The sequence below is a fragment of the Homo sapiens genome, chromosome 7, assembly GCF_000001405.40.
Source record: "Homo sapiens chromosome 7, GRCh38.p14 Primary Assembly".
NCBI lineage: Eukaryota > Metazoa > Chordata > Mammalia > Primates > Hominidae > Homo > Homo sapiens.
In genome coordinates, this window is record NC_000007.14 from 87,879,652 (window position 1) to 87,891,719 (window position 12,068).

Sequence of the window (12,068 nt, forward strand, 5' to 3'; positions counted from 1 at the left end):
ATCAATGGCTACAAATGGCTATCTGGCTGGTAATTCACACCTGTAATCCTAGCACTTTTGGAGGCCAAGGCAGGTAGATGACTTGAGGCCAGGAGTTCAAGACCAGCCTGGGCAACATGGCAAAACTCCATGTCTACTGAAAAATACAAAAATTAGCCAAGCATGGTGGTGCATGCCTGTAGTCCCAGCTATTCGGGAGGCCGAGGCATGAGCATCACTTGAACCTGGGAGGCGGAGGTTGCAGTGAGCCAAGATTGTGCCACTGTACCCCAGTATGAGTGACAGTGAGACCCTATGTCCAAAAAAAAAAAAAAAAGGTAGCTCAAAGTAGCTATCTGATACAGTTTGATGACAATTTTCTCAAATATGATGAACAACCCATTAACTCTAGGTCTAATGGTCTAAATCAGTGATACTTAGATTTGTGTTTTTATCAGTAGAACCCTTTAAACAAAATAATATTCAGAAGTCCAATGTGTAAAGCCTGTAAAAAGGGAACCCCTTGGGCTAAAACAGCAGTACAGAGGCTAAAGCAAGAACTACTTGCCCCGTCACCTTCTTTCTTCTATCTCCACAGCAGTTCCTGAGGTAATTGCAAGAAACAAATTTTGAATTACTTCTGCCATACATAATAGTTGAGGGACCTTTTGGTTTTACATACTTAGTCTTTACCCCTGAAATGATTGAAGTAGACCAGTGAAGTTAGGAGCATATTAAGGGTGTAAGTTCCCAAATTTTCCTTTGGATTTCCCAAAAATCCAAAGCTGTGGATTTTCAATGGAATTTGATTTATTAACTTTCTCCTAAAAAATGTCTTATTTATTGAATTCTGATCTTCCCATACTATCTTTTCTATAATTAATGATATTTAATCCTCAGGTCCTGGTTTCTGTCTTCAGCACATTTACTGTTTCTATCACTAAAAAAGATTTTGTCATAACGATCTTCTACATGAGTTAATTTATCTTCACATCATTACTTTAGGTGCCTTTTTAATTCACCATTTCACGTACTTTGGTTTCTATAATCTCGGTGAAAACATCTTAATATCCCATTTATCTGCAGAGTATGCTTCTGACAAATTTAACCACTGAGAGCACAGCACCCAGATTCTGATATAAAGGGGAAATACCTTTAATAGTGCAAGAAAAGTAGGTGTTACAGAACCATCTAAGGAGGACATGGGATCAGCCACAGTTAGGTCCATGTCTAAATAGTTTTGGCTAAAATAAGGCAATTGGAGAGGAACAGAAATGTAGGCCGATACCTTGGCGTATTAGCTTGAACTGTAAAATGTTTGATGTTCGTCATGATCACCTTGAGTCATCAGAAAATACGTTTTGAGTTTACTCTTTAAATGGCATAGATTCAACAATATCTAATACATTGAAGACCCTGGTAAAATTGATTCAACAAATGTTTGAGTATGATGTGCACTGCACTCTGTGTTTTGGTAGATTCAAAAATGAATCCAGCCAGGCTCGGAGGCTCACGCATGTAATCCTAGCACTTTGGGAGGCTGAGTTAGGCGGATCACTTGAGGTCAGGAGTTTGAGACCAGCCTGGCCAACATGGTGAAACCCCATCTCTACTAAAAATACAAAAATTTAGCTGGGCATGGTGGCGCACACTTGTAATCCCAGCTACTGGGGAGGCTGAGGCAGGAGAATCTCTTGAACCTGGGGGTTGGAGGTTGCAGTGAGCCAAGATTGTGCCACTGCACTCCACCTGGGCAACAGAGCGAGACTGTGTCTCAAAAGAAAAATAAAATAAAAAATGAATCCTTATGTCCATCCCATCCTCATGTTCTAACCTAGCTAGAGATGACATTGGTACAAGTAATTGTGTTAATAATACAACATAGAATGTCAAGAGAAAGGAGAGATTAGTTCCAGCTGAGGAATTGTGGGTTTTGTTCACACACAACTGGAACACGGCTTTGAAGAATGATGAAGATTTGGGCATGTGGGAATTCATTCAAAAATTATTCCACCACTGTCTCCAGTATATCAGCACTATTTTAGATCCTAGAGATACAAAAATAAGTAAAATATAACCCTCTAGGTATTCTTTGTCTAGTGGAAACCTCAGACAACTGAATAATTTATGTTAGAGTGTTGTCAATGCTTTGACAGAAATATGTAGAAATTGCTATTAGAACACAGAGATAGGAATGATTAACTCTGCCGTTTGGAATCAACAGAGATAAAGTTTGAGCTGGATCTTGAAGTCTTAGTTAGCAAGGCAAATAGACATACTAAATAGAGGAAAGCATATTTAAAATATATGTCAATGCAGTTTGTTTGTACAACTACTAATGTTGCAGTGGGATTTGAGCTTAGGATATAGGTGGGGGAAGTGACAGCAAACAAAATTATATTAGGGCTAGATTGCAAAGGGCGTTTTATTCACTCTAAGGAGTTTTAACTATGTAAGAAATTAAAAACCAAAGGAAATAAGTGGTACTAACATAAGAACAGACATACAGACCAATAGAGTAGAACAGAGAACCCAGAAATAAACCCTTGCATATATGGCTAATGGATTTTCAAGAAGGGTGCCAAGACCATTCATTGGGGAAAAGATGATCTTTTCAACAGCTGGTGCTGGGAAAACTGGATATCTACATGCAGAAAAATGAAGTTGGACCTTTACTGTCATATGCGTAAATGAGCTCAAAATGGATCTAAGATTTATTTGTAAGAACTGAAACTCTTAGTGGAAAATATAGGGAGAGATCTTCATGACATTGGATTTGGCAGTGATTTCTTGGATATGATACCAAAATCATGTGCAACAAATGAAAAGTATGAAATTGGACTTCATCAGGATTAAGAACTTTTGTGCCTCAAAGGACATTTTCAGGAGTGAAAGAACGCACAGAATTGCAGGAAATCTTTGCAAATTGTACATCTGCTAAGGGATTAATATCCAGAATACTTATATAAAGAACTTCTGTGACCCAAGAACAAAAGGACAAATGGCCCAATTTAAAAATGGGCAGAGGAACTGAAAAGACATTTACTCAGAAAAGATATACTAATGGCAGATAAGTACATGAAAAAATGTTCAACGTCACTAATCATTAGGGAAATGTCAATCAGTAATCACTTAACACCTGTTAGGATGGTTACTGTTAACCAGAAAAATAACAAGTGTTAACAAAGATTTGAAGAAGTAGAACCCTTGTGCACTCTGAGTGGTAGTGTAACACGATATAGCCACCATACAAAATAGTATGGGTAGTTTCTGAAAAAAGTAAAAAATTGAATTACTATATGATTTTGCAATTCCATTTCTGGCTATACATACAAAATAATTGAAAGCAGGGTCTCAAAGATATTTATTATTCACAATAGCTAAAAAGTGTGAACAGCCTTAATGTCCAACAAGTAAATAGATAAAGAAGAGGTTGTATATACATACAATAGAATATTATTCAGCTTTAAAAAGGAATGAAATTCTAATACATGCTACAACATGGGTGAACCACAAAAAACGTGCTAAGTGAAGGAAGCCAGTTACAAAAGAACAAATGTAGGATTCCATTATATGAGTTATCTAGAATAGCCAATTTCAGAGATGGAAAGTAGAATAAAGGTTATGAGGGGCTGGGAAAAATGAGGAATGAGGAGTTACTGTTTAATGGGTACAGACTTTCAGTTTGGGATCATGGAAAAGTTATAGAAATGTTTTAGTAGTGATGGTTGCATAATGTGAGTGTACTTACTGCCGTTAAATTGTACACTTAAAAATGGTTAAAATGGCTAATTTTATATTTATCACAATAAAAGTGTATAGGAGATCGGGTTTCTTATGAAAAATTAGAACCTCTGACATTATTAGGGCCTCATATTTATGAAAATGAAGGCAGTATTTGATGTGTGAATTATTTGTATTATTGCCTGGCCCTTATAGGCATTTGAGTCTAATCCCTGGAATAAATAAATGTAGGTACATTATTTACTGTTCAATGAAAATGAATGTTGGTCGGAAAAGAAATGATTTGCACTTAACCAAGGAGGCCACTGGTCTCAGTAGCAAATGCTGCTTAATGCTTAGATGAAGTTAACTTATCTGTTACACACTTCATTTTTATTATCATTTATAGTGTGGGATCCTATAGAAAATAGATACAGCTATTTAAAATATTCTGAGAAGTCTTTCATGGATGTAAATTGTTACTGCTTATTAATGATTCACAGTTTACTTCTGCTTAGTGGGTATTTATAGTATACATATTTATACTATGTATTTTTCTAATAATATTAGTAATTCTACTTAGTATTTACTTCTCCCTATTTTTATTTTCCTGACCCTGGCGATCTTTAATAACCTTCACTTTGGTACATGTCTTTATAAGTAAATTCAGATACTTAGGCGGTGGTTTTCAAACATTTTAGTAAAGAAATTCTATTCAAACAGTCTTACACTCTTAAGCGTAAAGGTTCCCTCCATCCTGTAAGTTGAAGCCTCAAGGGAAGGTGTAATAATGATTGATTTAGACTTGTATTGTCTGCTATGGTAACCATTAGTGATATGTGGCTATTAAATTTAAAGTCTTTAAAATCAAATTTAAAAATCAGTGGCTTGAGCTAGGCGCAGTAGTGTGTGCCTGTACTCTCAGGTACTTGGGAGGTTGAGGTAGGAGGCTCTCTTGAGCCCAAGAGTTCAGGGCCAACCTGGGCAACATAACAAGACCCCATCTCTTAAGAAACAAAAAATTCAGTGGCTTAATCACACTACCAAGGCCATTTCAAATGCTTTGGTAAGTTGTATTGGACACTGCTGCTTTAGATCATGGGCTTGAGTCAGAATGCCTATGTTCAAATTATATTATTTGCTACTGGGTAACATTAAGCAAGTCACCTCTCTTCACTTTTTATCCTGCAGAAAATGTAGATAGTATCATGAGGCTGTTCCATAGATTAAGTTAATTAACATATATAAAGTATTTAAGAATAGTATCCAGCACATGCTGCTGTTGTGCTGTTATAGGAGCTCTTATACTTCCTCAGAGATCTAGGTTCAGAAAAATACAGTATAAAAACCACCAATTTACGAAATAATTGCATCAAATTGAAATTTTTTACTGTGCTTGGCATATGAAACAGTTTATGGTTTTTATGACCTAGTTGAAAATACCTTGGTGGCATGTGCCTATAGTCCCAGCTGTTCAGAAGGCCAAGGCGGGAGGATCACTTGAGAACAGGGGGTTGAGGCTGCAGTGAGCTATGATTGTGCCACTGCACTCTAGCCTGGATAACACAGTGAGACCGTGTTTCTTAAAACAAATTTATAAATAAAAATACTTTGTTCTCTTCTAGCGAGTTGAAGAATTTCTCAGCAAAGATATCAGTTATCTTATTTCAAATAAGAAGGAAGCTAAATTTGCACAAACCTTGGGTCGAATTTCTCCTGTACCAAGTCCAGAATCTGCATATACTGCAGAAACCACTTCACCTCATCCCAGCCATGATGGAAGTTCATTTAAGTCACCAGACACAGTAAGTCTCTTAAATATGCTTTGAGACTCAGAAGGGCTATATCCTGAAGATCTCCTGGTTTTTAATAGCAAGGTGGCAGTAGAGTTTACTTATGTAGAACATTTGCAAAGCCACATGATGTGTGGCTCTCTAGTCCTCAATAAAGTTGCTGTCTTTTAGGAAGGTGGGTTTTTCCTAATAGTTCTTGTGTAATCATACTCTGATTGCTTAGGTATACCCTTGTATTTAGGGATGGCGTGTAGTTTTTAGAATAATTTACAACTAAAAAGTTAAGAGCAGATCATTCTTTGAAGAAGAAATAGAAACCTTTTTAATTTTCAGAGCAGGGGTCAGCAAACTCTGGCCCATGGGCCAAATCTAGTCTGTTGCCTTTTTTGTACAACCTGCAGGTTAAGCATGGTTTTTACATTTTCAAATAGTTGTGTAAAAATATCAAAAGAATATTTTGTGACAAGTAGAAATTTTATGACATTCAGATTTCATTGTCATAATGTTTTATTGGAACACAGCCATACCTGTTTGTTTAGGTATAATCTGTAGTTGTTGTGTTTTAGGCAGAATTGAATAGTTGCTGTAGAGACCATATGGCCAACAAAGCTTAAAATGTGTACTGTCTGGTCCTTTGCATAAAAAGGTTGCCAGCCCCTATTCTAGAATTATTGAAATCACATCCCTACCACTCCATGGCCAGTAAATTGAAAGATGCAAGGAAAGACAAATTAAATTGATTTAATTGGGTGTGAGGTGGGATAGGATCAAATGAGAGATAAAATGTTTATTTCAGTTTTTAGGTTGAAGTGTAATTAAGTTATTATTTTACAATATTCTCCTCGACTTACCTATTATAGCCATTTGAAAATTAAGGAAAATGAGGAGAAAACAGAAGAAATGAGTCAGAAAGGAGCTATCACTTGAAAAAAGAGATACAATACATAGAAGAAAGAATGGAAAAGAGATCAAGAAAGGACCATGCATTCTCTGAGTTAATGCTTTTTTGGAGCAAGGAGACAATACACCAGCGATTCCAAAATAATTGTTGGTTATGGCATTTCAACGAGTTTTCCTAGTACTTTATTTAAAAAGTGAAGTAACGGCTGGGTGCGGTGGCTCACGCCTGTAATCCCAGCACTTTGGGAGGCTGAGGTGGGTGAATCACGAGGTCAGGAGTTCAAGACCAGCCTGGCCAACATAGTGAAACCACATCTCTACTTAAAAAAAATACAAAAATTAGCCGGGCATGATGGTGCGTGCCTGTAGTCCCAGCTACTTGGGAGGCTGGGGCAGGAGAATCACTTGAACCCGGGAGGCAGAGGTTGCAATGAGCTGAGATCACACCACTGTACTCTAGCTTGAGCGACACAGCAAGACTTTGTCTCCAAAAAAAAAAAAAAAAAAAAAAAGGTGAAATAACATGTGAAAACAGTATATAAAATTTATTGTTTTTCTGAAATCTCTGATTTAATAGGAACTAAAATGTAAGCCAATTAATTATAAAGAATTCCAGTGAAACCTAGCTATTTTATTTTTCATGTTGAATAGAATTTACTACAAAACCAAAGAGGTCACCCAAAAAAGAGAAACTTTTTAATATGAGACCCAAAAGTTCTCTTTTCTTAGCTGCTTTACCTTTTTAACCTGTTCTCCAGTTAAGCACTATGTTTTAAATTTTTCTGGTCTTTTTATAGGTGTGTTTAAGCAGAGGAAAATTATTAGTTGAAAAAGCTATCAAGGACCATGTAAGTAGGAACTATAAAGATTCACATTGTACATTTTGTTATTAAAAACTCAACTGGAAATTACAGATATTCTTGAAATTTTCCTTTCCACATTTTTAGGCAAAAACCTGAATCTCAGCATATATTTTATTTTACAAAGTAAAGAACTTACTTTTCATGTAGAAACATCCCCATCTTGTGGCCTTTTAAAATATTACTGGAAACTTAAAACTTGCCTTATAGTTTTCATTAAATTACCAAGGATGTGGGTATAAAGTGGGATTGATTTTAGGAATTCTATAGAAAATCTTGATGTCCTAGCTATTGTAACTCTATAGGGTCTGTTACAAATAACTGCCTTAGTGACATTAAACTTCAAATAATTGAATTTTTATTAAAATTTAGCTCATCTTAAATAATTTCCTAGAACAACCATAAAACTTTTTTTTTTACAGGATTTTATTCCTTCAAATAGTATATTATCAAATGCCTTGTCATGGGGAGTAAAAATTCTTCATATTGATGGTAAGGATTTTATAATTGTTTTTTGACAGTATTTGTTTTAAGTGTCCATGTCTGTCCTTTGGTTCCTGACTTTACATAGTGAAATTTTGATAGCAGGGATGTCTTAATCTGTTTCCTATTGCTTATAACAGAATACCTGAAACTGGGTAATGTACAAAGAAAAGGAATTTATTTCTTACAGTTATGGAGACTAAGAAGTCCTGGGTCAAAGGGCTGCATCTGGTGAGGGCCTTCTTGTTGGTGGAGACTCTGCAGAGTCTTGAGGCAGCACAGAGTATCACATGGTGAGGGGCTGAGTGTGCTAGCTCAGGTCTCTCTTTCTCTTTTTATAAAGATATCAGGTCCACTCCCATGATAACCCATTAATCCATGAATTCCCTCTTAAAGGTCCCATCTCTCAGTAAGTACTGTCACACTGGGGGTTAAATTTCAACATGAGTTTTAGAGGAGACAAACATTCAGACCATAGCATAAGAGATACCTATAATGGTAAATTCTTTATCTAATTTAACTACAAGAAAATATCACTGTTTAACTCCAAGAGTAAAATTGCTAATCTTAAAACCTTCTTTCTTTTAATAAAGACATTAGATACTACATTGAACAAAAGAAAAAAGAGTTGTATTTACTCAAGAAATCAAGTACTTCAGTAAGAGATGGGGTATGTTTTCTTTTTCAATTTTTAAAGTGACCAAGCTTGGTTTTTTTACTTACGTATTTGCAAAGTTTTCCTCCCAAGCAGAAAATATCCTAGGGGCAAGCCTGTGTATGATGTGCCTGTTTCTGTTATTCAAATAAATCGAGTGTCATTTAACTTTAGGGTTGTACTCACCAGGTAAAAGTTGTTCCTGGAATAGTGGCATAGGTCGCTTCCTCAGCCCCCTTTTGTTACTGCTGTTTTGTAACAGGTACTTTTATTTATTCTGTAGAAAAATCACTAAAATCAGCCTGTTGTATAAACGTTCCTAATGTAAGTAATGTACTTCTTTTTGGAATATAAATATGTACTATCCTTTTCAACTGCTCTAAATGGTATAACAAAATCTCGTTTTAGCATAGCTAACTGGCCTGACCTTGAAATACTTGTTAAACAACCACATTGGTTGTTAACGTTCTGTTAAACCTAATGTTCCCATTATCTTCAGTCCCTTTCCTTTTCCTTGTTGCTTCTTTGAAGCATCTATACAGTTTCAGGCTTTTTCCATCCTTTAAAACAAATACAGTAAAACCTCCCTTGATCCCACATCCCTACCTACCTATTATCTAATCCTTGTAATTCCTCATCCAAAGTTCTCAGATCTCTACTTTTATACTTCCCATTCACTTTTCAACCTACAAGGTATAAAACTTCTGACCAGTTTTCCAAATCATTTTGATACTTTTTAAACCCAGTCATATTGGTTCTCTCAGCTGTTGTCCATTTCTTCCTTAAACTTTTCTATTCTCTTCTGAAATTTCATCTCTTAGCTTTCTCCTGATCTCTTCATATTTCTCAGACCATTCTTTTGTGGCCTACTTTTCCTTTGTTCAATATTTAAATGACAGGGATCTAAAAATAATAAACTGATAAGAGTGTATATAGAGACATGAAGCCATAGTAGGATGGCATATTTTAGAAATCTTGTATAGCATAATACAGCCTGATCTTTGAGTGTGCCAGTGACAAAAGATAAAGCTGGAAAAACCAGCATGTTAAGATTATAAAGTACCTTGCCCTATATAAAGGAGTTAGATTTTATCTTGGAGAGTTTGGAAAATTATGGAAAGATTATAAATAGAGTAACCTGATTGGATAGTCATTTTGGAAAGATCTTCTGGTTGACAGTAAAGAATGAATTATTTGGCAAGACTGAAAAATGGCTTTTGAACTCTTGAACAATTTTTTTTTTTTTTTTTTGAGGCAGGCCCTCCCCCTCTGTCATCCAGGCTGGAGTACAGTGGTGCCATCTCAGCTCACTGCAACCTCCTCCTCCCGGGCTCAAGCGATCCTCCCACCTCAGCCTCCCAAGTAGCTGGGACTACAGGCATGAGCCACCGTACCTGGCTAGTTTTTGTATTTTTTGTAGAGACGGGGTTTCGCCATGTTGCCCAGGCTGGTCTCGAACTCCTGAGCTCAAGCTATCCACCCGCCTCAGCCTCCCAAAGTGCTGAGATTACAGCCATAAGCAACCACACCCAGCCCTCATTTTTTACTGAATACATTTTATAGGATGACCACTTGGTATATACATGCCGTATATAAGGCTGCATAAACTTTTTATGCATTTCTCGTTTTTAATAAATTCACGTTTATATAAGGATAATTTGCAGAAAGCAACAAAGTAGTATTTAAATAAAACTATCAATCAAAGTGTAAAAATGATTTGGAAAACTGGTCAGAAGTTTTATACCTTGTAGGTTGAAAAGTGAATGGGAAATATAAAAGTAGAGATCTGAGAACTTTGGATGAGGAATTACAAGGATTAGATAATAGGTCTGGGTTAAAAATTTAAATGACTATTTCCAAATTTTCACAAAATATAAGTGGATATTCCTGTATTGGACTTTGCTAAATGGCATATAAATTGCCTCTACCACACTTAGCAGATTGTTTGGATTGTATATAGAAGTAAATGTTTAAAAAAATGTAAACTCATAAGGACATTTATGGACTCTGAATACACAAATTATGTCTGTCTTCATGTATATGTGTATATATATCTGAAATAAGTTTCATAGAACAATAGTTACCCTCCTTAATGTGGTGGATATTAATATTTCTGTGGTATTTTCATTTCTTAAAAATATTGATCACAACTCTGAATTGACTTTATAGCCTACTGATAGGTCACAGTTTGCAGTTTAAAAAGCATTCTGGGGGCTAAGCATGGAGGCTTATGCCTCTAATCCCAGCACTTTGGGAGGCCAAGGTGGGCAGATCACACGAGGTCAGGATACCAGCATGACCAACATGGTGAAACCCCCATCTCTACTAAAAATACAAAAATGCCCGGTGTGGTGGTGCATGCCTGTAATCCCAGCTACTTGGAAGGCTGATAGAAGAGAATCACTTGAAGCTGGCAGGCAGAGGTAGCAGTGAGCCGGGATCACCCCCACTGCAGTCCAGCCTGGGTGACAGAGTGAGACTCCATCTCAAAATAAATAAATAAATGGATGGATGGATAGATAGCATTCTGGGATGTTATGTCAGTGATCCTGAGAAATGTTCAAGGCCTGGCTTAAGGCAATAACAAAGGGGAGGGGAAGATTTGAAAGATACTTAATTGGTTTCAGTGCCTAGTCAGTGTCTTGAGTCTAGTATTTACTAGATTATTAACATCATAAAGACCAAGTTTAGTCCTCATCATTCCTTCAGTAGTAACAAATATTAAATGCCTGCTATGTGCCATGCAGTAGGAGCCCTCATAAAACGAAGAAAAGATAAAATAGCTATGAAACAGATCTTAATCTTTCTTCTAAAATAAAAATGATAATAATACCAAATATCTTGATAGTCCAGAATCTATATCTGGTTGAATTGATACTCATACTGGAAATTTTTATTTTGGTATATAAGAAAGGAATGTTTCTGGAAAATTTTTAGTTTGCCAAGTACTAAAACAAAATTAGTGAAATTACATTTAAGAGTCTTGAATGGACATGTATAAATTTCAAAATGTTTATTAGGTTCCCATAAATGTTCTTATTAGTATGTATCTTATTTAAAATATGGTAATTGGATAAAGGTATTTTACTCATTGCTTTATTTAAAGTGCTTTGAGGTTTGGGCTTTTCTTTTTTTTTTTTTTTTCCAGTTTACTCAAAACTTATTTTGTCGAATTTTTTACATACATGTGCAGGAGGAATATTGGTCTTTTTCTTTGATGTCTTTGTCTGGTTTTAGTGGAATGTTTAATCCTATTTTCAGAACACACTGATATGTGTTCCTGTTTCTATTTTCCAGAGAAGTTTTTATAGAATTGTTTTTATTTCTTTAAATGTTTGGTAGAATTTACTAGCAAGGCTATCTAGCCCTGACATTTTTCTTTGTTGGAAGATTCTTAACTATGAATTCAATTTATTCATTAGATATAGGATAATTCAGGTTATTTTCTCTTCAGTGCATGTTGGTAGTCTGTTTTTCAAGGAATTTGTCCATTGTGTCTTGGTTGTCAAATTGATGGGCAAAGAGTTGTTTCTAATACTCCCTTATTAACTTTGTAATGTCTATGGGAACTGTAATAATGTCCCCTCTTCCATTCCTGATAATGCTATTTTGTGTCTATTCCTTTTTTCTTAGTCAATCTGGCTAGTTTTACCAGTTATTAATATTTTCAAGGAA

At 35.7% G+C, this 12,068-nt stretch overlaps 1 protein-coding gene across 4 annotated transcripts in view; it reads left to right on the forward strand.

The window, feature by feature from the left end:
• DBF4 (DBF4-CDC7 kinase regulatory subunit) overlaps positions 1–12,068 on the forward strand; it is a 33,061-nt gene that overhangs the window by 3,159 nt on the left and 17,834 nt on the right. For all 4 annotated transcript variants that reach the window (NM_006716.4, NM_001318062.2, NM_001318060.2 and 1 more), the window contains exons 3-6: positions 5,328–5,507; positions 7,193–7,243; positions 7,678–7,747; positions 8,332–8,408. In NM_006716.4, the coding sequence (NP_006707.1) occupies positions 5,328–5,507; positions 7,193–7,243; positions 7,678–7,747; positions 8,332–8,408 (378 nt within the window). The remainder of the gene's footprint in view (positions 1–5,327; positions 5,508–7,192; positions 7,244–7,677; positions 7,748–8,331; positions 8,409–12,068) is intronic.